General features: G+C 38.8%; 1 long non-coding RNA gene across 1 annotated transcript in view, besides 3 other annotated features; it reads right to left on the bottom strand.

Moving 5' to 3' along the window:
- Window positions 1-26,527, bottom strand: part of LINC01122 (long intergenic non-protein coding RNA 1122) — a 543,014-nt gene that overhangs the window by 90,249 nt on the left and 426,238 nt on the right. The gene's annotated exons all lie outside the window — the stretch shown is intronic.
- Window positions 124-1,748: an enhancer, noted in NCBI's record as "VISTA enhancer hs393". NCBI's record gives its function as "enhancer in: eye[6/12]" and the evidence as "EXISTENCE:transgenic organism evidence [ECO:0001131][PMID:17130149]".
- Window positions 18,243-18,744: an enhancer, noted in NCBI's record as "NANOG hESC enhancer chr2:59181909-59182410 (GRCh37/hg19 assembly coordinates)". NCBI's record gives its function as "activates a minimal SCP1, AML or CMV promoter by ChIP-STARR-seq in naive H9 embryonic stem cells {active_cell/tissue: H9 hESC(naive)}" and the evidence as "EXISTENCE:reporter gene assay evidence [ECO:0000049][PMID:30033119]".
- Window positions 20,411-21,661: an enhancer, noted in NCBI's record as "VISTA enhancer hs1181". NCBI's record gives its function as "enhancer in: heart[3/8]" and the evidence as "EXISTENCE:transgenic organism evidence [ECO:0001131][PMID:17130149]".

The following is a 26,527-nucleotide window of genomic DNA, read 5'->3' as shown; positions in this document are numbered from 1 at the left end:
GCCTAGCCTCCAAATCTTTGGGCAAATTGAAATAGACCTGGCTGGTCCTTTTTCTACCAAAAAGTACCCCTTAAATATTATTTTTGTTAGTATTGGAGAGTCCTGTGATTCTAGACTATTATATCTAACGCCTGCCTATTGCTTTAGGCAGAATTAAGATGGAGTTGGGGGTTGAGTAATAAGATCCACTTGCATCAACCTTATTTCTTGTCTTAGAGATGAGATAGAAATTGATGAATTGGAGGAGGAAGTGCAGTGTTTCCTTCTCTCCCCTCTCAATCCCACCTTCCTTTCTTTTTCCCCCCTTCCTTCCTCCCCACCTTACTGACTTCTCTTCCTTCCTTCCTCCCTGACCTTCCTTCCTTCCTTCTTTTGTCATTAAACACAGTACCATTTACCTTCTACAAGAAATCTGATGGAATTTAATCTACAACATGGTTCCAGACCGGAAGTACAGCTGTGCAGCAGAAAGGGGGCAATGGGGGAGGTGATATTTTATAACACAAAACAGGCAGGACTACTCTGGACAGAAGATAATGCAAACTAGGTTTGCTGGAAATGAGCTGCAAAATACCTTCATTTTCTACTACAGTGAAACCCTGATAAAATCACAACTGTTAAGGTCATACAGTATATCAGGTGGAATCACAGTCTTTAGAACTCCATTATTAATGCAGACAACCTCACAATCAAAGAGGATGAGAGCACAGTTTCCAGATGCCAATGATTTGATCATATCTTATTTGGCTGTTTACATTTAAATAATGTGACTGTATAAATTTAAATAATATGAACCACCAACAGACAGATCCCAGTGAAAAACTGCCCCTTCTCTGAGACCCTGAATGTACACTATACAGCACCTTACAATCTATTTGAGCAGAGCTCATATTTTTTAAAAAATGGGGAGGGGATAAAAAAAGAGAGACTCATTTCTTCTGCCATTATGGAAATAAAAGGACTACCGCTTTAGTTCGTGGCTGGCTGTGCCAAGGAAACATGCAGTTCTCTAACCTCCGGTACGATGTACCCATAAGGTACCAAGCATCAAAGCATATTAAAAGATATTAACTGCATATTTGCTTATGAACAAGATAAAAAGCTGTAGGGCCTCCAGGTTCTCAAGCTGTGAGTGGAACAGCTTTGCAATTTGCCTGCAAAACTGCATTTTGATCTTAATGAATATAAAATGGCTGCCATTAAAAGTAAAACAGATTATTTCGGGTCTTCCAGGGCCCATAGCTCTTTGCTGGCCTTGGAGGGCCACTATGATCTTTCATTAAAATCTCACAGCAGGGCTCCCTCACCAGCAAATCAAGCCTTGCAGTCTAGGAGATTGGCTACATTTAAAAGTAATTTTCAGAAATCTACACAGATTTTCAATTTGGTAATGAAAGCCATAAGAGAATGCAGGCGGCATTTTGTCGAATATTGTTACTGATCCAGCACTCACATTCGTTAGAAATTAAACTGCCCCGTAACTATCACACTGATGGCAGCTTGCCATTTCGGCTGCGTTCTAATCTCCGTTTGTTAATGAGTAGCATGTGCTAATTGTTGTCATCCTTACTGCCGAGCAGTCCTTCCCTAACAAACATATTTTACCTGCTCAGAGGTGGAACCTTACGCTTTGTCACAGAGCGGGTTGGAATGGAGTGTTGAGATTGCAGCTGTGTTGTAAAGGGAGGCAGCCCAGCATTGTGAGACAAGGCAAGAGAGAATATGATTTGAAATTGGGTGCGTTTGTATTATTTGAATCCGTCAGTTTGTTTTTCACTCAAGCTTAACTTTTCTAAAGTCCTGGAGTCAGCAAAATGTTAATACTTTTGTGTTACTCCCAAGAGCAGTTTGAACAAACCCACAAAATCTGAGCACAACTAAGGTGAAATCAATTGGAATTAAAATGAGGGAGAGGCTTCAGGTAAGAAGGCATGAACATACCAAGGACCTCACCTACTAGCCAGTCAGGGAGGAGAGCCACCCCTCAAACCTAACGTGGATGTGGGGCTGCCACTGGCTTTCAAGAGAAAGTTCGATTCTTTAACTCCATCACTTCGGTCCTAAAGGCTGGGAGGTGGAGGCCATTGCATTACTCTCAAGTGGATAGTCCTAAGGGAATAATCATATGGACCCACGATAATGTGGTTCCAAGGAGAGCGGGCACCAGAGAAGAGGAAACACTAATAAATTCAGCATCCTGACGTGTGCTGCAGGCAGACATTTGAAAAAAGAAAAGCATATGAAATGATTATGAATAAAACATTATTAAATACAAGAAAATGTACATAAATGCATTCTAAGACCAAATGGGTTTTTTTGTTTGTTTGTTCGTTTTTGCCTTTGCATGTCCTCCTACCTGATATAAGAACTGAGGAAAGTTATTTTTCTGAGATCCGAGAAACAAAAATGTCAGATTATGCTTCCCTATTGGAAAATGCATTCAATAAATTTTCTTTACTTGGCAATTCTCTTTACCTGGCACCTTTAGGGCAAAGCACTTCCCTGCACTAAAATGTGATGGGCAACAAGAACTGCTCTCTACATTCTCTCTGACTGGATATAAATTCTTCCCGCAGATACAGAAAGAGTCTCCATTTAAAATAACAATTCTCCTTGGCAGAGCACTGGCAGCTATGAGAGACCATCTATGCAAAAGAGATGTTTATTTTCAAGGGGCCAGAGAAGGCCTCTTGTGGTCCATGTAAGCAAGTCTTTTAGCTTCTCCAAGCATACGAGCGGTTCCTAGGTGCTCCTGGGCTATGTTCCTTTGGTTTCCACAAAGTAAAATTTTAATTGGACGGCATGTCTGTGATTTTCAGGGAATGACACAGGAGCGCCTGAAAAGGTGCCACCACTAATGTGCTTTAGTTTTTGAGGTGAAAACTCAGGCCAATTCCTTGTCTCTGTGGCCTCAGGAAACCAAAGGGAAATAGATAACAAACAACTTAGTAAGCAGTTTTGAATCTATTCCACCTGTAGTTGCTATTCTAATTGCGGGAAACATTTTTAAATGCCCAAAGTGACATTATAGGAAATTCTGCTGAATCCTCCTGAATTCAGAAAGTTGAGACTTTCTTTATTTCACCTGTCGTCAGTTGTTCTAATATTCCTCTAAGAGCTTCCAGGTACATTTTGACAACTGTATATTGTAATATCTCTTGTATCATTAATTTGCCATGTGCTAAATTGTGGGCAGAGTGAGGCTACATTACCAATTTTGACTCTCAAGTATTAGAATATAACAGCTATTAATATCCCTCTAATTACTAGAGTGGGGAATAAAACTGCACTTTAGGTAATAGAAGTTAATATAATTAGTCTTCAGATAATCAAGTTAAATTTTACTAGTGATATAAAGTATAATTTTTATTTGTTTTGTTTCAGAAAGATACTTCTATGGAAACAGATATCATCTTTGCTTTATCACTTTTACTTTAGCAATTCTGTTGGGAAATATACATGTGCACATACACACAGATTTACATATATATATTACATGGAGAATTTTATTTAAAAAAAAATCACATTAAAGAAGAACATTTGGCTGGGCATTGTGGTCATGTCTGTAATCCCAGCACTTTGGGAGGCTGAGGTGGGTGGATCACCTGAGGTTAGGAGTCCGAGACCAGCCTGACCAACACGGAGAAACCCCGTCTTTACTAAAAATATAAAATTAGCCAGGCGTGGTGGCGCATTCCTGTAATCCTGGCTACTCAGGAGGCTGAGACAGGAAAATCGCTTGAACAGGGAAGGCGGAGGTTGCAGTAAGCCGAGATAGTACCATTGCACTCCAGCCTGGGCAACAAGAGCGAAACTCTGTCTCAAAAAAAAAAAAAAAAAAAAAAAAAAAAAGAGAGAAAATTCACAGCCTTGTAAAAAGGCATAATAAAAGTTTTCAAATAATATTTTTATAACATAGATGAACTTTTTTTTTTTTTTGCCCCATCCCTTCTTTGGAAATTGTAAATAAGACATTTTTTTTTGTTTTCTGTAACAATTTTTAAACTAAATGTTTAAGCTGAAACAAAATATTTGGGGGGGGTATATAGCAATGATTTGCAACTATTCATCCAAAATTCATACTTCTTTTACCATTTCATTATTAAATACAGAGCTCTAATGAAGCTTCAAGGCCTACATAAAATTTTCTTTTAAAAAAACTTTAAAAATATTATAGTCTCTGTTTTTATGAAGTGACATTTTTATTTATCTGTTTTGACAATAAAATATACTAAATTGAACACTAGGTATCATAAGCTTGAAATATAGCATTCTAATATGTGTGTATTTCTATTTACTAATACTTAATGGATCTTGTACAGTCAGCCCCCATGAGACAAATTTATTTAATTCCAAAAGTTAACTTGTAAATTTCTTTCAAATTTGTAATGATTTTTTTCCACAGAAACAATATTTAAATAGTAGTTTGGTTCCAAGGCTAGCCCATAAAAACCAAGTCTGTCATCACGTAGCTGAGCTAAAATCCAAACTGCTTTGGCTGTCCTTTGGTTCCAAGAAACAGAAAACCATGAGATAACAAGGCGAGTAAAAAGTGAGATGAGTGGATAAGGAACTCATAGAAGGAAGATGTGAAGAGGAGCATCATTTCCTTTTCTCCTGTTCAGAGCTTGAGTTTTCCCTCCTCTGTGGGTAAAGAACCCGAGACCCAGGCCTCGACCCAGAAATCTTTGGCCCCCAGTACCCCCAAATTCTATAGCTCCCTGGTCCAAGTCTACACAAATCCACAAAGTTTTTAGTACTCCAATCAACCACTTCTCATTCATCTTCCCAGCCCTCTAATCATATTCCAATTGATTTAACTAGATGTTAGGAGGATGAGGAATAAAGAAAAATGAGAGGCAATGAAAACGTCACCTTTCCAGGTAGGCACTTCTTTGGTTTTAAAAAGGCAGTTCAGTAATTAAATGCGTGGTCTGTACAACATGCATATCTAACCCATGCAGAACACTGGTTAGTCGCAGCATTACTAGGGACCTACCATCATCACCACCACCACCACACACAATCCTGCAGCAGGAGTCTAACAATAAAAAGGAACAGCAAATCCCTTATCAGGGAAGCTGAGACGGGAGCAATGTATGTTGATGTCTGGGAGTTAGCACCAGAGACGATGCTACTGAATTTTCTGTGACATTTGTCCAGCTGCCTGAGGCCCTCAATACTGTGCATGCTGCAAATGCAGAGAGCCTTCTATCTTGAGCAGAAGGTAAATACACTTGATGAGTGTCATTCTATGGTTTCAGCTTATTAGGAAGGATGAAGGGATCGTAATGACATTAAAAAAAATAGAACCCAACAAGAAATGTAGAAGAAAAAAATGTTGCTGCAGAACCAGAGAAAATTTGAATCTGGTATGAAGAAGGTTAAAAGACATTTTAGACTGGTGGGGTAATGTACTCTATATCATCTACTTCCATGGATGATGACTGGTGAATTCCTATAAGGGCAATGACAACCTGCCTTTCGTCCCATACAGGAGAAAAAGGATTTTCAGGATAGTCACATTAGAACAGTTTTATCATCTTCTCCAAGAGGCAGAGGAGAGAGGGTGTGGTTGGCTCCCTGCCAAGGCATTCATGAGTTCATATTTCGACGTTATGAGACTAAAGGGAATGAACGAATTTCCTGGGATAAAATGTGTGGAAAGATTCCACTGTCTTCTGTGATTACGTGTGATAATCAGTGCTGTCTTTAGGAGACATAGTCACTGTCCTTCTAGAGGCATGAAGACAAAGGAGGAAGCTGAAGGGCACAAGCATAGAGGTGGTAGAAGGATGATATCTGCTGCCAAGTTTAGCTGAGAACACAAGGAGGCTTTGGGAAATATGTAGGTGGCACAAAAGAGAATCTGCTTGTCTACAACATGGTTCTTGATAGTAGAAAGGGCGTCTTCTGCAAAGGGAGAAGTGGCTCTTTGAAGACTGGCAGCAATGCTTGGGGCCAAAAATACCAAGGCCAAGCAAACTATACTTAAACTTCAAGCCAAAAAGGCGCAAAAATCTAAATAATGCTTTCAAATCCAGCATTAGACTATATCATTAGGTATTATTTGGAGAATATTAAATTGTAAATAAGTTGGCCAGGATTTTGCAGAAGAAAACACAAGGAAGATGGGCAGGAAAGGACCAATGTGTTTGTCCTGTATCTTCATATATAACAATTATCAGAGTGAGAATAATACAATGGGCCAGGCGCGGTGGCTCACTTCTGTAATCCCAGCACTTTGGGAGGCTGAGGCAGGCGGATCACTTGAGGTCTGGAGTTTGAGGGCAGCCTGACCAACATGGAGAAACCCTGACTCAACTAAAAACACAAAATTAGCCAGGCATGGTGGTGCATGCCTGTAATCCCAGCTACTTGGGAGGCTGAGGCAGGAGAATCACTTGAACCCGGGAAGCGGAGGTTGTGGTGAGCCAAGATCGTGCCACTGCACTCCAGCCTGGGCAAGAAGAGGGAAACTCCATCTCAAAAAAAAAAAAAAGAATAATACAATGAATGTGTAACTTTAATACAAAAAGCTAAATAAGATCCTTGACATATACAGAGAGTCTTTGTCAGGTGTGGGCCTCATCCCTGGTAGTGCTTCCGAATCATATGTGATCCTTCCCGGTTTCCTTATTTCCAATCTGTTATAGACCAGGACTTTGGTACAATTCAAGAAGACTAAATTACTAGAAAAAGAATATAAAAATATATACAATATTGAATCCTCAGTTTTTATTATTAGATTTAACATACAGATTATTTTTGTCAATTGCTTTAAAAATTCCTACATGCTCACTCTCCATTTCTGCACTTATATTTCTGCAAACCAATCATAAACAGCTCACAGACATACACTGCTCTATGAGTAACATTTTAGATGGCCCCAAAAGAGTTTATCACAAGGATGTGGCTTTAGTACTCTAAATCCAGGAAGAATGGTTATGAACGGCCCCAATGAGGGCATATGCTAGAATACATGTACGTTAGGTTAAAAGGAGAGTAAAGTTAAAGTGGTATTGTTTCAGAAAAGGAATGACTACCATCCCCAGGCCTTCCTAATGCAAATTACAAAAGTAGTACAGAGGGATGTTAAATGATTGACAGGAAACTTTTCTCCTAAACATCTGCCAGAAGTCTGTTTCAAACGAAGACCCTCTGATAAGTTCTTGACCTACCTTCTGCCACTTGCATTCCTTTAGAAGGCTGAGAGATCAATTTGGAGAATTTTTACATGAATTTAATTTTGAACAAGGAGTGAGATTTGGTTAGTGAATTAAAAGTGATGAGCAACTTGGAAGGAAATGACATGTCATCTTAGAGTTTGTTATTTTCACAGGAAACTAATTCTGGACAGAGGCAGTTATCCTAGAGTTTAGGAAAACAGTCATCAAAATAGAGAAAATGGAGAGATGATTTCATGACTAAATAATTTTAAAGGGAAAATAAGACTATTTTTAAAATTCAGACAAAATAATCACAGATTATGCCAAAAAGATATAACATGAAAGGGACATTCTTTTCCTCTTTTTAAAGCTACTGAATGCAGACTATAAAAGAACATATATCCAAAATGGAAGGGTGAAAACATGATGGGTAACGAATATAAAAAAGTGCTGTAAGAATATTGTCAGGAGGGTTAAAGCTTGACTTTAGGCTGAAAAACTGCCAAGGACAACAGAAAGCTATTTTAAGCTCTGTTTGTGAAGAACAACAAAGGGATAGGTACATTGATTGGGGCACACAGCAAAATGTTAACAGATGTCACAGAGAAAACAGAACTATTCAACTCCTATTTTGATTCTATGGTCTCTATCAGGAAGAATGATCTTCAAACCCGAGAGGGCAGAGCAAGCAGAGTTAAGAGTGAACTGAGGCCCAAGATAAGTCAAGACATACTAAAGTATGACCTAGCTGCTTCAGATGAGTTCAAGGCTCCAGGCCAGACAAATTATATCTCAGGTTACTGAAAGAACTGAAAAAACGGTCCAGATGGGATTGTGGAAACCCTCCCAATAATTTTTTAGAATCACAGTCTAATTATGGTTGATCAGGGATTAGTGTGGGCTATAGAAAGAAAAGCTTTCGATTTTCAAAATCAAACAACTATCCAGAACATATCCCTAGCAAAATTCTGGATGGATTATCACAAGCATGGGTTGTTTGTGCTTAGAGAAAGAAGTGGCAATCACCTTAAGTGAGCAAAGGCCTACTCAGGATTACACCAATTTCTCTCTCCTTCCCACCTCTCCTAACCTCACTCCCTTACTTCATTTCTTTCTTTTTTTTCCTTTTGCTCCCTTTCTGTTTTATAGAATGACTAGCCAGATAGTTGGGAGAATGGCTCTGTTTCATCAAGATATTTAATACATTATTGCATAACATATTGGTGGACCAAAAAAAAAAGGCTTATGTAATTAGGGTGACTCAAACGTGGTTAAATAAATGTTCCCAGAGAACACCTGTTAATTAATTGGGGGCAATCGGGAGAGTTCCCTAGTGTTTTGTGCCCTTTCAACTTTATTTTACCCCCTTGTTCTTTTCTTTATTCTTTCTCTTTTTGTACATAGCTTTACTCTGGGACTTGCATATTCCAAGAGAGTATATGCTCTAGTGTTTTTCTCAGTTAGACTCCACAAATAAGTATCTGGTGCCCACTCTGTATGAATCAGATGGGCCCTGGCAATGTGAGCTGCATTAGATCCAATATTTTCCTTTAAGTAACTCATAGTTTAATGGGGGAAAACAAAGTAAATAACAGAGCAAGTCAACAGATACAATACAATGTAATAATGATAAAAAAAAGACATAAGCATTTGTTTGTGCCACGACGTTTTTTTTCCTAAGCATTATGCTAAGGGCTCTACATATTTCATCAAATCCTCTCAGAAACAGTATGAGATAACTTTAATTATCCCAGGGGTATTGGTGAAGAAGACCAGGGCTCCGAGAGAACAGTTAAGGCCCAGATCAAACCAGAAGTATGATAGGGAGCAAGAATTCAAAGTCAAGTCTGTTGTGTTCCCAAGTCTATGTGCTATCATACCCCTCTACAAAAGTAACTGAGTAAAGATGAGGGTAGGCCAGTGTCTAGCAGTGGGTGGGGTTCCCTGATTATCTGGAGATGGAATGCCATCCCAGGAACATTACCAGATAAAGTGAAGAAGCCTAGCTTGCCAAAAACATAGGTGCTAACTACTGAGGTTGTCAGAGCATTGAGAAACTTCAGGCAGAAAGACTGACCTGTGCAAAACTGAAGAGGCTTGAGAGGATGGCAGTGCATATGGCTGGGTTTGGCACATGTGCCAATGTCTAGAGGGCTTGGAAGGAGTCAGGTCAGAGCAAAACTTAAAGCCAAATGGAGAGGTAACAGCAGACACACATTCTCTCTCTCTCTCATACGCACACACAGTGTAGACATTTTATGAAGAATATGTATTATTAAAAATTATTAATAACAAAATGTGAAGTTCTAGTTCTTCAAGTTCCCTTGCTACTTAATTTTTCATATGTATTATTACCTGACTTATTTCTAACTTTCAATGTTCTCTTTCTCTCTACTTTAATTTTTCCTCTATACATTCAACAGATGTGTTTCATTTTATGGATGAAATGAATTTCTGTAAAGTTGTGTGATCTTTTTTTCAGTAAATGAAATATTACATTAAAGATACTAGGGAAGTTCCCTTTTAAAGGAACCTTATGCCAAATTGCTTTGTAAAGCAAATAATGACCCTATAACCAATCTTTCTCTAAATCTAGATTTCCATATATCAGGTTTGACTAAAAAAAGATACATCTGTACTTTATTTTTACATCTGTCTGCTAGCTGTACTGTAACATAATAGTATGCCAATTTGAAATACCATAATTTTTACACTTTTTCAGTTCTCACAATGCAATCTTACAAAATGTATTATTTTCCATATCATACTCATTGCTTTCTTTTCCTTAGGAGAACTTTAGACTTGTTTTTTCCCCGCTGAGGTTGCAGAGGTTGGCAGAAAGCTACACAGTCGTAGACATCCCATATAGAGCAATTGTAAGATGCTGTGTCTGGTGTGAAGTACTTCATATGCATTCTTGCATTTAATTTTTAAAACAGACTTCTGAGATATGAACAATTATCTTGACCATTTTACACGTTAGAAAACTGAGGCTCAGGCCGGGCGCAGTGGCTCACGCCTATAATCCTAGCACTTTGGCAGGCTGAGGTGGGCGGTTCACCTGAGGTTGGGAGTTCGAGACCAGCCTGACCCACACAGAGAAACCCCATCTCTACTAAAAATACAAAATTAGCTGAGCTTGGTGGTGCATGCCTATAATCCCAGCTACTTGGGAAGGCTGAGGCAGGAGAATAGCTTGAACCTGGGAGGTGGAGGTTGCGGTGAGCCGAGATCACACCATTGCACTCCAGCCTGGGCAACAAGAGTGAAACTCCAACTCAAAAAAAAAAAAAAAAAGAAAAAAGAAAACTGAGGCTCAGAGAAGTTGAGCTTCTACAGGTGTTCAAGCTGTACTCCAATTCACATCAGTCGACTTTAATTTTTTCCAGCTTTACTGAGGTATAATTGACAAATAAAAATGGTATACACTTAAGACACACAATATGATGTTTTGATATACGTGTACATTGTAAAATGATTACCACAAACAGGCTAATTAATATATTCATCACCTTGTATAGTTACTTTTGTTTGTGTGTGGTGAGAACATATACCCATGCACACACACATACATACACAAAACACATTTTCTTTATCTGTTCATCTGTCCATGGATACTTAGGTTTCCATACCTTGGCTATTTTGAGTAATGCTGCAGTGAACATGGGAGTCCAGATATCTCTTAGAGATGCTGATTTCATTTCCTTTGGATATAAACCCAGAAGTGAGATTGCTCGATCATACATAGAGTTGTGTTTCTTGTAAGGTCTGTATCAATTTACCTTCCTACCAACAGTGTGAAACTGTTTCCTTTACTCCATTTCCCCACCAACACTTGTTATCTTTTATCTTTTTGATCGTCACCATTCTAACAGGTATGAGATATCTCACTGTGGTATAGAGTTGCATTTTCCTGATGATGAGTGATGTTGGACATTTTTTATTTTGAGACGGAGTCTCGCTCTGTTGCCCAGGCTGGAGTGCAGTGGCATGATCTCGGCTAACTGCAACCTCTGCCTCCTGGGTTCAAGTGATTCTCCTGCCTCAGCCTCCTGAGTAGCTGAAACCACAGGCACGCACCACCATGACCAGCTAATTTTTGTATTTTTAGTAGAGATGGGGTTTCACCATGTTGGCCAGGATGGTCTCGATTCCTTGACCTCATGATCCACCCACCTCGGACTCCCAAAGTGCTGGGATTGCAGGCATGAGCCACCGCGCCTGGCCTGAACATTTTTTTATATATCTGTAGGCCATTTGTATTTGTATGTCTTCTTTTGAGAAATGTCTGTTCAGGTCCTTGGCCCATTTTTAAATTAGTGTATTTGTTTTCTTGCCACCGGGTTGAGTTTTTTAAATATTTTGGATATTGAGGCCTGGCATGGTGGCTCATGCCTGTATTCCCAGCACTGTGGGAGGCCAAGACAGGAGAACTGCTTGAGGCCAGGAGTTTGAGAACAGCCTGGGCAACACAGGGAGGCCCAATCTCCACAAAAAAATAAAAATAAATTAGCCAAGTGTGGTGGCATGCACCTGTAGCCCCCAGCTACTCGGAAGGCTGAGATGGGAGTATCATTTGAGCCCAGGAGTTCAAGATTGCAGTGAGATATTATGGCACCACTGCACTCCAGCCTGGGTAACAGAGCAAGACCATGTCTCTAAATACATGCATACATACAAACATATTTGAGACATTGGCCCCTTATCAGACGTATGGTTTACAAATAGCTTCTCTCCTTGTATCTTCACTCTGTTGATTATTTTTTACTTTTGCTGTGCTGAAAATTTTCAGTTTGATTCAATCCCACTTATCTACTTTTGCTTTCTTGTTTTTGGGGTCATATCCAAAAACTCATTGTCCAGACCAATGTCAAAAACTTTCTTCCCACGTTTTCTTCTAGAGGTTTTTAAGTTTCAGGTCTTATACTTAAGTCTGTCATCTACTTTGAGTTGATTTTTGTATATGGTGTTATACAAGGGTCTAATTTCATTCTACTGCATGTGGATATTCAGTTTTTCTAACACCGTTTATTAAAGTCTATCCTTTCCCCATCGTGTGCCCTTGTTGTCAGCCTAACTTTAGATCCAAACAGTAACTATTATTCTATGTACCCTCTTATTATTGATAGAATGAACATTAAGAAAAATTGTGTTCTCACAAAAAGTGACAAAACTTTTGGTGGAAGTTGGTGGTGAAAATAACATTTTCACGAGAGTCAAACTAGATTCTAATAATCTTTCTGCTATCAGTTGCCAGGACAAGACAGTTGCTCAGGCCTCAGGTTTTTCATCTGTAAAATGTAATGACTAAGGCCTCCTTTGACAAAAACACTAAAGTTCTAAGGTCCTGGTAAGATGATACAACGCACATACTGGATGCACTTTTAAAATTTAACGTATTTTTCTTACTAGAAAGTTAAGTCCAGATTAACAACATTTGTATCACAAGGAAACCCTTTCACTGGCTAACTAAAAATTCAACAATTTTAAAAGAGAAAATGGACAGAACAATTAATTCTGCCTTTGTGACTGCTATAGATCAGGCTGCTATAAATCCACAAATAGCATTGTTATAAAACCAAAGACTTTTTATTTTATCCATGAAAAAAATTAAGTAATACAGCTATAATCTAGGAATCTAGGATCTAAGAGGGCAGATTCAGATCTTTACTGATCTGGCCAGACCATTGGTTTTGAAAAAGCATGAAGAGTTTCCAAGGTGAAGTCCTGACCCCACCCTGTCCATTGACTAAGTCAGACACCACTCACAACATACACTTTGTCCCCAATACATCAGATCACAGGCCTTCTCAACTTTGTGAGAAAGAGCTTCCAATTACCTCTCTTTGGCCTCTTTTCTTTTATGATCAAGGTGACTTATAAACAGCTGCAATAAAAATGATTTTTTTCATAAGCGTCTTCTCAATAATGTCTGTGAAAAAGCAGAGAGGCTAAAAGATACGTGACATTCACAGATTTTGCCCCTGAAGCCACAAAATCCACACGAGCAATTTCTTCATTTGACCAAAATGAATGGTCATCACAAAAACAAATGTAACTTTGGTATCCCTGATTTGGCTGAGACAGCTTAAGGGCTCAAACTTAATAGACTTTTTCTGACCGATTGGGATCTCAGCGCGGGCTGCATCATCCTGTCAGGGCCGATAGCCAAGTCCAAACCACAGGCACAAAGCTGCCCTTGATCCATGACCTTAGCAGACAAAATAACAGGCTGCCGAATGTCATCAGACTCTCAAGGAAAGAACTTTGAATACATCATGCACTTTGCTTGGTGGTCTTTTACGGAAGACAATTAAGAATAGGTTGATGCTTAAATAAAATGCCTAAGAGTAAAAGCACATTTCTATATTCCAAAGGCCCGAGAAAAGCTGTGTCTAAGAAGGGATTAACTACTATCAGATGATATTACGACTGGATTAATGATGTTTCACATTCGCTATACTTATAAAAAAGAGAAGGGAAAAAAGAATAAAAATCTTTTAAGGAGCAGATAAGTGATTTCTATAAACCTTAAAAGCTAAAAGAAAACTCATTTTTAAAAAGACAGTGGTTATAATAGTGTATTTATTCTAAATCCTTAATTGGGGTTTTTTTTCCCTTAAAAACAGCCCTACATTTCAAGTAAATTTCTGTTAACATAGTCTGTGAAGTGTGAGAAGAGTGTGTGTGGTGTGTGTGTGTGTGTGTGTGTGTGTGAAAGAGACAGAGAGAGAGGGTGCAAGAGAGAGAGAGAAGAGAGGTGGTCTCTTGTCTCAATGTTTTATATTCTACCAGGTATTTTAAACCATTCTTATTTTAGACAATTGTTTTTGTAATACATATGCTAAAGGTGATCATTTTATTTTATTGCTAGACACTGCTGACTGAAACATTTCTTCAGATGAAAGTAATTACTATGACTATATTACTTTTCTAACCTGTTCTGTGTATTGTATCCAAGGTATTCATAGTATAAAATTCTGTTACCATGTTTAAAAAAAAGTCACATGATGCTGTGCTCTGACCTTACCTATATAAAGACGTACGATTATTACACTGGTTTTTTGTTTGCTTTTTGTTTTTTACTGAATGTATCTACATGCACAGAGGTTGCAGGAACACTCTAACTTTGGGTAGAAATGTAAAGGTAAGAAATATTGAATAATGCAATAGCCAACATCAGTATTATATGCAAGGAAATGAAACAAATCATTTTATGTCAATAATAATAAACAAAAGCAATCCATATAATATTCTAAAAAGGAAGAAATGACAGAAAAAAGGAAAGAAAGAGAAAAGCAAGAAAAGGAGAAAATAAGCAAAGAAGAAGGAACAGAGAGAGAGAGAAGAAAGAGGGAGAGATAAAGAGGAATCAACAAACCACAGCTGATATCAGTAAATTCCACTTCACCAATAAATTTTTGTCAGGCCTTCCGTATGACTAATATTTACATATTTGAAATCATGTGTTACCTGCCTATACTCTAGAATTCATTCATGCAGATAGAACTGCACTGTATTTTTATTTGGAAATATGATCTTTTATTTGGAAATATGATCCAATAAAAGAGCTTTTATTTGGAAATATGATCAAAGAAAAACATTACTAAAAAATAATGTGTTAGCTTTCTGTTTTCACCAACTATTTAATAATCTGGCAAATTCTATAGAAGGTTTCATGTCCTAAAGTTGCAACCAGACAGAATAGCATCATTAGATCCAGAAGCACAAACTACAGCAGCGGGGCATGTGAGGTAATGGTAGTTGAGTTTCAAAATTGAGAAGAGAGATCTTCCTTTTCCCTCGATTTTTCTTCACATACTAAAGTTTTCCTATCCTGCCACCTGCCACCCCATGATCCCACCCTGTGTCCATGAAGGTTTGTGTGTGTGTGTGTGTGTGTTTGACAAAGTCATCCAGTTCTCCATAGGGATTTGGTATTGATCCCAGAAGAAGGTAGGAGACAGCAAATGTCAGCTGACACGTTCAGAGAAAAGCCAGGCTTTCAAAGGCACATATCAGACATTTGTGGACCTGACCTGAACTTCTCTCATGACCTCCACTGGACCAGGTTCTCACTTTTCAGGAGACAGATAGAAGCTTACTACAAATTTTGTGGGGTGTGATAGCACCTGAGAGTAACAGTACGTTCTGATTTTTTCCTTTTTTTTTTTCCACTTTTTAATTTTACTTAATTGAAAGCACAGACGATGTTGTCCTGGGTCAAATTCCTCAAAAGGTCTGGCTTTTGGAGTCTTGCCAATGTTACTGCCAAGAATTCTAAGAGTTGTATTTGCTGCTGGAAAATAATGAAGATGTCAATCCACAAAGCAACTAATGGACACTCCAGTTCAGTCGTTCGAAAGTCCTCCGTGCTCCCAGGGTGTGCGCCATATCCCCAAAGTCCTAAAACCATGCTGGCAACTGATGCACATGCATGGAATACTCCTTCCGAACCCTCAGTCTTATACGAAACAATGTTTAGTAGGTGATTCTAGCACACCAGGCTCCAGCATTTTATGAAATCTGCTTGCTTCTACACCAAAACCATAAAAAGTGAACAACTTCACAATTGCTTCAATTTGTAAGAATTAAGACGCTAATTCACCTCAATCTAAAATAAGGCTTCTTCAAATCTGGTCACTCTCACTGCTACATAACTCCTGCTAGTTGCAGAGTTCTGCACAGCTGCAGCCAGAAATGTGTTTGTTTATGTTCTTATGAGCGATTGGAGTTTGAGGCTTGAAAGGGGGATCTGGGCAGAGTAAGCAGCAGTGAGGCTCTCTTTGAAGCTTCAGGAATAGACAGAGCCTGTGAAGGAGTGTGAAGAGACAGGAGCCAACGGCTCAGGTTGAACCCATGGCACATCCTCTCCAGGCAGGAAGAAGGAGGAGGGAGAAATGTGAAGCAGAAGTGGCAGCTTAGCAGGAGCACCTCATGTCTCAGAGGCTAAGGGTTGCCCTAAGGCTCCAGTATGGCAGTGCTGCAGACAGGTCAAAGGCATGGCCTGGAAAAGTGATCACTGGCCACTGGGACTAAGGCAAGGTCAGCTTCAGCAGCACGGCAGGCACAGAGCTGAGTGCAAGAAGGTTAGGGATAAAGTGAATGTGAGAGTACAGGAGTGATATATCACTCTTTGAGATGTTGGGAAGTGAAAAGAGAAGAGTAAATGTTCCCCAGAAGAGGCAGCAGGGTCAAGCAAGGGGCATGATTTAAAGTGCAAATTATTTGTACAGAAACACATTAAAAATCTATTTGTAGCCAGGATGGGCTTCACATAAAGTGAAAAATAGTTGCATAACTAAACATTAAATATTTTAAAACACTTATAAGTCATAAAGTATTATGACATGAATATGACGGGAAAATTTAGTGAAGCCAAGGATGCTGCTTTTGAAGTTTCTGTACTTCTCTCATTTATCCTTCCAAGGTCCTAGGAAGCTCTATTGTTATTTCTATTTTACGGATGAGGATAAACAATCTGCTCCGGGGTACAATTAGTTAGTGGTGGAGGTGGGGCTTGTGTCTTCTGATGCTTGCTGGTCCCCCTTTTTCCTTCTATAGAATTCTTCAGTAGAAGAAAGAATGACTGAAACTTACTTTTGTATCAGTAAGTTTTTGATCAAAACAGATGATGTTTTATGTAAACAGATTTTTCTATGAAAAAGCCCCAACTGTACATCTTAGCTTTATCTGAAGAGTGTTAAACTACCACCAGCAAGCTCAGAATTACTTCTCCTTATTCCAACTGCAAAATTTGTGCCATTCCCCTATCTATCCAACACAAACAAAAGCAGGAAAGAAAGAGTATACCTATTGCCTACTCCAATGTTTATCTTCTATGTGACATACATAAAGACAATTAATTTTCAAAGATATCAATCTTTCCTACACATCTTAAGATTGACATACACATTTCAGGTCTGCTAGAATAATTATATCAACTTTTTTTGTGCCAAAAACGTAAGATTTTTAAAAAGGATAATTAAGCAAGCTAATATAGCAATAAGTGGAATACACAATAAGAATATGCACTAAAATATCCGCTTTGTGCAATACAGAACTGGTGTTTCAGGAGATTAACAATTATGATTGCCAGTCCTCTTCTGATTCTATAATACTCCACACAATCTTTTTTAAATTACTTTATTAACCTTTCCTCCTAGCACAGAAGTGCCCGATTATAGATAATATTTCAAAATCATCTGAGGTGTAAGTGTGTTTGATTTGCTCCGTAATTATTTGTCTACTTTATTACATTGGCCAAGCACACAAGTTCCTTTGACCAGCTTTATTTCAAGTCCAGTTAAGAATAGGGTCATATCATTTTGTGGATCACTCCCTTTGGGCCCGATGTACATGAAATTTTCATATTGAAGACAGGGATGGTGCATAGCAACAGTACCTTTTAAACATGGAGAAATAATTTGCTGCCCTGTCATTAAAGGTTTAAGGCCCTGGACTTAATGGGTAGAATGTTGTTCACAAGTGAAAGGAAGGTGTTTATTCCTCGCATGACTGGGACACAGGGCATTTAAGTCTGAGCATGCAAATGTCTATTGATGAAGTCTAAAAGCATATCGCTCCCACCCCTCTGGTGGCCTTACCCAGGGTCTTTATAATCTGTCCCTCATCATGCATACTGCCCAGGACAACACTTCTATTTTAATCTGGATCATGAATGCATATCTGGCATGTATTTGGACTCACAGAGGATAGAAAGGAAGGGGGAGGGGAAAACCACAAGGGGAGATCACAGACCTTCTCCTTGTAACAGGGATCTGGAGAGAAGAAGTAACGTCTGAAAATCACACTGGGTTTTACGGAGGGAAAGTTTGCCTGTTCCAACTTTACAACTCAGGGGCAAATGAAACTGATACTTATGTGTTCTTAAAGATGAAAATGTAATGAGATGAAACAGGGTGCACTGCTGATTCTTTAGGGCCACCACCTGGATAAAAGCACAAAGCCGGAGGACTCTGTTTATTGTCCACAATCAACAAATCCTGAAATTTCCATATGTAGCAGGATTCCAGGGCTCTGTTAGTAATACAGGACATGGCTGGTCAGCTCAGTCACCCACGGAATTACAGTGTCGGGTATGGGTGCCAGTATTTAGACCCAAACCGAGCATAAAAAACACAAAGTAAAATTCAGTGTCAGCACAAAGTTGACAGCGAATGATTATAACAGCTTCGAAGCTTGAAAAAGAGTGTAAATAACTAGGATCCCCTGCGGGCTCACTCAGCCTGCATACATAACAACCGTGATGGACAGCCTCCGTGGTAAAGTCAGGGGAAACGAGGCACTGGAAAGATGCAAAAATTCTGCCAGCAAAGAGCCTTAACTGTCACCTTCCTGACTAAATCAGCTACTTTCATATAGGGAGAGAAACAGTAAAATAGGGACACCTTTGGAAGGCCAATTGCCCTTTGCCTAGGAAGCAGGAATGTTAATTATCGGCTCTTCTGTGGTTATCAAGGTGCTGCAAACACACCAGCGTTTGCACTTTGGGAACACTCCTCTCTCTGATCTTTAATCCTTGGCATTTTTAGTCCACAAAAGATTGTTATTTGGCACAACTCTGCTCATTTATAGAATGTAAAAATAAAGGCAAAAAAAAAAAAAAAAAAAAAAAAAAAGGTCTCCCATCCCCAACTGAACTGTTAACTTCATGTATTGCTTTAACTGGAAATTTAATTCTTTTCATTTTATACACATATGCACATAAACATGCACACATGCATACCTTCATCAGACAACGAGTGGTTTCAAACCCTGAAAAACAAGTGCATCATGGCATGCGGCCTTCAGCCTGGTATGACACATATCAGCTTTGTGAGTATAGAGCTTCATCGTCACTTGTACAGTACTTACAGACTCAAAGGAGAAAAGAAAGCAGCTGAGGTCTTTTGCAAACACCTAGCTAACACTCCACAGGTTTGTAATTCATTTACAAGATAATTAATCAATTAGCAAATGATCCCTTTCCCCTCTGTTATTTATGCTGAATAAGAATTGCATCTCCAAATGAAATGGCAGACCACTTGTATTGAAACTTTGCCCTTCAAACACATTGGTCTTATTTATCTGAATTGAGCAGATGCTTTGCAATGCCAGCCCATTGTAACTGAACTGTTTGCTATTAGAACCTGAGTAAGATTTAAGCTAAACAGAAGAGCATAAATATGACATCCTATAGACATTCAGGATGATCAACTGTGCTGTATCATCGCCAGCCATTGCTACTTATTCACATAGGAAAAGAGGGAGGAAATATACCTGACATTGCTAAAAGGGGAACTATAGTCCCTGGAAGGACAGGTGAAGATGGGGCTTACACAGTTATTGGCTCTAGAGTACAGCTCTGGGGTCTTAAAATGCAATTAAATTGCTATGATGTATATACCCTGTTTACAGGCTCAACAATTCTCACTTCTTTCAGAGCTCCATATCATACTTGGCACCTCTTTGGAAAAGCAGATATCAGGCAGCTTCTTCTTAGGGACCAGGGTGTTTATCAGATCGCCCAGATAACCATCACTGAGGAGAAGGTCTGACAAGGATGCAGATCCCATCAGATCACACTCCTATGTGGGACTGGTCAGAAGAAGACATGGGTGTATATACGCATCCCCTTTACATCTCTGCGCCTAGAATGACACCACCGTAAAATATGAAAGTTGAACGAGGTCATTTTTTGGTTCCTGGCACAGCTATCATACTAGGAATCTGTGCATTTTTCTATGTTAACAGCACTCTTAGGTGAGATAACAGAAAAATCTTTCACTCTAGGCAGGGGAGGGGTCTAAAATATTTCAGAAGCAAAGAGGAAGGTCCCTCGAATTATGCAAACATTTCACAGCCAAGTGAGCAGAGTCTGTTTCTGTTGCTGGGTTTTTTAGTCAACAATTATGTATTAAATTACGTCTTGTACACAGAACAACAAAGGCATTTTTGGTCCATTTTTACAGGTGAGAAAATGGGTCAGCTATGTAAGACTGAACCTCAGGTGTGCAGATGACAGAAAAATCCCATCACCTATTCCGTCCCTGGGGGACTTCTGGGATGGGCTCAGAACTTTGTGTAGTCACTTGCCAGGGCTTTAATAATAAAGCAGCTAAAAGGAAAACCTTTCCTGACCCTTTACTCTGCTGAGAAAGGACTTAAGGATAAAAAGCATTTGAATGTTTAAAAAAAAAAAACTGTGAAACTTAGTAAATGAGAAAATTAGAGAAAGATCATTATAATATGGATGAATACCCCTAAAAACAAACAAATTAATCCCAAACTTCACTATTCTCTTGTCTTTCTCAAAAACAAAACAAAACAAAAAACAAAAAAGAAAAAGAAAAAATGAAACAATGGCCAAATGTGTACAGAAGCAAACTCTACTTGTTAGCTATGCTGAGCAAAGCTGGATTTGTTCACGCACAGGAATAGAAAGCACAACAGTGAATCTTGGAGGCATTATTTCTTAGCAAAATTAGCATAACCCAGCACATCAGAGTATTAAAATTTAAAAAGGATTTCAAACTGTCCTAGTATCATCAGCAGAGTCATGTCACAGATTTTTTTTATTGGTTCAGCAGGCTAGGTGTAATTGTATCACTATTTTAATGCTTGATGCATATTGCCTGTGATACATTGCTTGCATAAATAAAAAGCACCAATATTCAATTGCCAATGAAATAATCACATACTCCAGATCTTTATTATATCATGCATTATTTAATTACAATAATCAGAGTCCTTTTGAAGGTAAAACAAGATTAAAAAGGTTTCGTTTTATTGGATCTATATATTTGATTTAAACTTTACATGTTAGCTTTACATTAAGAATTTATAAGGCATCAGTTCAAATGGTGCTATTATAAGAGTTTATTTCTTTTATAATTAGTACAGTACTCTCAAAGTACTCTGACTACGAGAGATAATATTTCAGTGTTTTAATGAGCTTTTTAAGTGTAATTGATGTAACAATCATTGAATTACACATTTTTACCTGAAGAATAATGAAGGAAGCATTTTAATGAGAAATTTAATCATTATTAGCAAATGATCTACTAAACTGCCATTTGCTGACATTTAAAAGCTTAATAGCAGAAAACTGTATTTTCCTACATCTGCATCAACATCGATGGCGATTACTTTTCTATTACTCTGATTTCCCAGGTTAACTTTCTACCGTCACTAATTTATTTATAAATTTAAGAAAACTTTCTTTAACCCACAGTTGTCAGCTCCTTCCAGAAATTGTGGGGCTTGACACTTAGAGGGATAATTTAAATAAATTAGCCCCTTTTCCAGCCTTCAGCAGTTTTCGGCATAAAAGGGCTCTTTCTTGTGAGTATTCATGCTTGCATCAGCTTGATTTTGATGAATGCCCTGCGAATTCCCTGATAGTACCTCAGACAGAGAGATCTTAGACTGATGTCAACAAGGGTTTTTAAAGCTCCCTCATTTCAAGAACACATCAGCATTCAGAGGCTGATAGACATGAGTAAGAGAGCCTACTATGCAGCTTTTGTCAGCTTCTGGGGTTGGGTTTTGCTGCTGGGTTTAGAGGAATCTCTGTGCCATGGGAAGAGAGAGTAGAACGGAGACATCATAGTGAAGTTCATAACAACATGTTTTGGGGGTATAAAAAGAACCACAAGATAATACTAGGTAGGCAGGATTTACATAACTCATTGTAGATGTGGAGAGTAATGAGACAAGCTCAGCCTTCTGACTGAGCATTGGACAATGCAACGTTGAAGTCAGTACGCAGGCTGGCATAGGCATGATACCTGGGGCAAGGACTAACACATAGGACCTTGCCTGCATTTTCCATGATCTGGCCATAAGGGATAGTCATTTACAGAGCTCCTTAGATGGAGTGCCAATCCACAGTGTGCTTTGTATGGTGTGAATTGTCAATCTAGAGGACAGAAAGAAGTTTAGATAGAAACACATTATTATGTATCCAACACACAGTGAGATCTTTTTGTTTTTTAAGTTTGAGTTTTGATTTAGAGTCATGGTGTGAGTAGGCAGGAGTGAGGAAAGAGAAAATGCCAGCATGTGACTCACACCCGCCTGCTGATGGTACCCTAAAGTCCTTGTCAGTCCAGAGATGCTGGGTTTGGCCCAGGTGCCAACTTCTTCCATCACAGAATTCTCACAGCCCTTTATTTTTTCCTCTCTCTTAAAGACTTTGCCCTTTTTCACTTTGCATGCTCTCAAAAAGATTTTCAGAATTAAAAAAAATCATTTTTTATGTTCCTCATTACTGTGGGAGCCTGACTCTGTGGCTGCCTCTCCACAGCATATTGCCAACAGCGTGGTAGAGACTCCAGCCCTGACAGTTTGTGCTGGGCACCATGCCTGGGTATGCAATGTCCAGTCTTCCTACTGCATGCAAATAAGCAGATAATGATAAAATTAGTAAATGACCTGCAAGGCATTCGAGTATTCAAGGAAACATTGATAAAACATCTTTCAAGCGAAGGACAGAGCTGAGAAGTAATAGCTCACTTGGTTTTTGTGGGTTTTTCTGGGCAATAGTGATGCGGCATATGATTGTTGATATTGTTTATTATGGAGGATGCAATTGCCAAAACTCAAAAGAACAAAGCTGACATAATGTATTGGACTATATTTCAAAGTTTATTCATAAATCACTTCTGATCCTATACTGAAAAGCAAAATAACAAGACAGCACTAATAAAGTGGATCTGTTTTTCTTATTACATGATAGTTACCTATTAAAATGGTTCATGTGTCATATCCAAAAAGGATATAGAGGATGGCACTGAGATTTATTTGCAAATCTTTGGGTATCATTTATTTATAAACGCAACATATACGTATAGAGATACAATGTATTTTTTTTTATCAATTTTGAATTATAATTTAGATTTAAATAAGCATTTTTCCCCAGAACCCCGATATTGGAGGAAAATAAAAACACAACATCAAGAAACACATAAGGGTATATCTGGCTGAAAATATAGAGTATTTTCAGAGAAGTTGGGTCAAGGTTATCCATCAGAAATGATTAACAAATTAATATTAGAATGATATTATTCTGTTGTGGTAGTACAATATAGCTAGGTACCCTGAATTGGTGGTGAGCCACCAATTTTTTTATAATCATTATGCAGCTTTGATTGTTACAACTGAATTATAGTGATACCTGTCCAACAGACAATTTTAAGCTAGTCTCAGAATAAGAAGAGAAGTACAACTTTCTCCAAGATGGATAAAAAAATAAACAGATTATTATTGTTATTGTTATTATATGCAGCACTAAGCCTATGCAAAATAAAAATGGAGTGTCTTCTAAAACATGGAAGAACTTTGTCTCCTGAGAGCGTAATGAAACGAGCCCAGGACAACACGTAGCCCTACTCACACAGCCACACAGTGACAAAGGCAACCACATGAGTTGTATGATGGTTGTGGATGCAAATTTAATTCCTTCAAGGGTGACTCCAAATATTCTGGTATTCAGAAGTGTGCCATTAATGCAAAAAGGGCATATAGATGAAAACAGGAGAAAATTAGAACAAAAATTATTTCAAATGAAAGGTACTATTCGAACAAAAGCATCAGTATTCTTGTAAATATGTAATGATTCTCTTTTTTGTTAATCACCTGAGTTTTTTTGCAGTATACTGGAATATCAAAGACTTTAACTCATCCTGTTAGCAAACCAGGTATAAACAAATGCTACTTTAAAAAATGCACTTCTGAAAGAATCCATCTAAAGGTTGAGGGAGTGTAAGATGAAAACCACTGAGAAGGTTAACAATGCCCCCTCAGGGCAGCGTCCTGTTGCTGCCAACAAAGATGGTCAGGGACAAGTTCTCCCAACAGCTGCTAGGGCCTGATCCCAATTCAAGAGATGCTACCAATCACATAAAAGCTTGTATGGAAGATCAGAGAGCACATTCAATGAAGGGAGTTTCCCCTTCTTTTGCTATCATTCAAGGAATGGTTTTTTTCACCAAAGAATATAAAAGCCCACCCATGCAATCCCAGGTAAATATGAGTCCAATTAAGGCTTTGGATCTACTTCATTGGTGCAACATTCCAGGTTTGATAAAACAATTGAAACACAGACATATACAACTATTTACTTCACACACACACACACACACACACACCCCTTAAATGCATGTGAATTTACTTCTTTTATAGGTAAAAGAACCATGACTCAGATTTTCCTGCCTCCTTACTTTTCTTATTCTCTTTACTGTTCCCTAATTTCTTTCTGGTGAAATTTGCTATCTCTCATTCTTTGCCCCTCCTTGTAGCCTTACCTCACCCTGGCTTCATGTGGCCTTGTGTCAGCTCATCATTCCATTATCTGGAGTGAAGAGATCAGAAGCAATGTGATGCTATGGGATTGCCTAAAAACAAAATTACTTTCAATTTTATTTCTATCCAGGAGTCATTCTAGGAAATCAAGTAAGCACGTAAAAAATCAAAATTCTTTCCTAGATTTGGCAAACCTCAAAGTTCTGAGAGAACACCCCAATGCCATCCAGTCCTATATCTGGGAAAGTACAGACATCTCTAAGGACTTGCTCAGCAGGCCCTCCTACCTATAGGCTGTACCATTTCATTGCCACCAGAAATTCATTGTTAGTTACTCATTCCCAAGAGAATGCCAGGTAAAGATGTTTGTTTGAACAGTAACAGAAGTTTCAGTTGAGCAAAAAATATGTTCACCTGAGAATTCAGACATATTTAGGTATGTTTGAAAGGCTGGTGGTGCAAGTTTCTTTCTGGTATATTTATATGAAGAATCGGGGTCCTCCCAGGGAAAAATTGACCTATGGAATAGACAGTAAAAGCAGAGATGCACCCAGGCATGGTGGCTCAGGCCTGTAATCCCAGCACTTTGGGAGGCCAAGGTGTCCAGATCACCTGAGGTCAGGAGTTTGAGACAAGACTGGCCAACATGATGAAACCCCGTCTCTACTAAAAATACAAAAAAAAAAAAAAATTAGCCTGGCATGGTGGCAGGTGCTTGTAGTCCCAGCTACTTGGGAGGCTGAGGCAGAAGAATTGCTTGAACCTGGGAGGCGGAGGTTGCAGTGAGCCGAGATCGCGTCATTGCACTCCAGCCTGGATGATGGAGTGAGACTCTGTCTCAAAAAAAAGAAAGAAAGAAAAGAAAAAAAAGCAGAGATGCATGAGAGCATAATGGAGTGAGCCCAGGAAAACAAATTGCTCTACTCACACAGCCACATTGTGATAAAGGCAACCACGTGAGTCGTATGATGGTTGTGGATGCAAATTTAATTCCTTCAAAGGGGCATCGAAATATGCTGCTGTTCAAAAGTGTGCCATTAATGCAAATAAGGGCAAATAGATGAAAACAGGAATAAGAACAATAATTAGTTCAAATGAAAGGTGAGCTATATCAAAGAAGAGGGTCCTCTTTTAAGGAGCCCTTCTAGACCCCAGTATTACACGGCTATTTACACAGATAGCCTCCAGTCATATGGGTATTTTTTGTAGTTCTGTGAATAAATTCTACTTTCTCCTAAGTGTTTTCCATAGATTAGCTCAAAAGTTAAATCCTTTGAATCCTGGGGTGGTATGACTGCAACAGGAGAGTCAGCAAAAGCAAAGAAAAATTTCATAAAACTTCAATGATTTATTCAGAGTCCAAGAAGTCAGCAGCAGTGGCAACAATAATAGCCAACGTTCTCGACCCAGATAACAACCAGACTCCCCTTTGGCAGAAGGCATGAAGAATCTTAGCCCAGCTATGAGTTGGCATCAACTGTTCAGGGGATGCCCTCAAGAGGTAAGGTACTCTCGGTATACGTAGTTGTACCCTAGACATGGGGAGAATGGACGCATTTGTCAATGGGCAGGAGAAGTGCCATCTTTACAGGTACCATGGAATAGTCACCCTTTTGTAGTGGCAAGAGACATAATAATGGGGAAAAGGAGCAGGAGAAAGGAAAATGAAGACATGCTCATCTCCTTCAAAAACGACTAGTTCAAGAAGCATAAAGTTAGCTGCTCCCTAGAAATTCCTAGCACCAGACATGTAAGGAAGCCTGAGAAGATCATAAAGCCCTCAGGAAAGCAATCCAGGAAAACAGCCTTCAGTGTTTCTTTCTGTAGTTTTGATCTTCCTCTGGACAGTGAAGGCCTGGGAGTCCTGAGTTACATTATCCTGGAAAAGTCGCATGCTTGGAAATATGTAGAAACATGACTCCCATAGCCCTGAAGTGAAAACATTCATTATGAACTAAAAAAAGTACTTTTATTTCTTTTATCAAACCTGACATCCATTTCAATGTTAACAACCTAAAGCCTTTCGAAACATGGTATGAGGACTCTATACT

This window comes from Homo sapiens, chromosome 2 (genome assembly GCF_000001405.40).
Source record: "Homo sapiens chromosome 2, GRCh38.p14 Primary Assembly".
Classification (NCBI taxonomy): Eukaryota; Metazoa; Chordata; class Mammalia; order Primates; family Hominidae; genus Homo; species Homo sapiens.
Note: the sequence above shows the minus strand (reverse complement) of the source record. Positions and strands in the feature narration are given on the sequence as shown.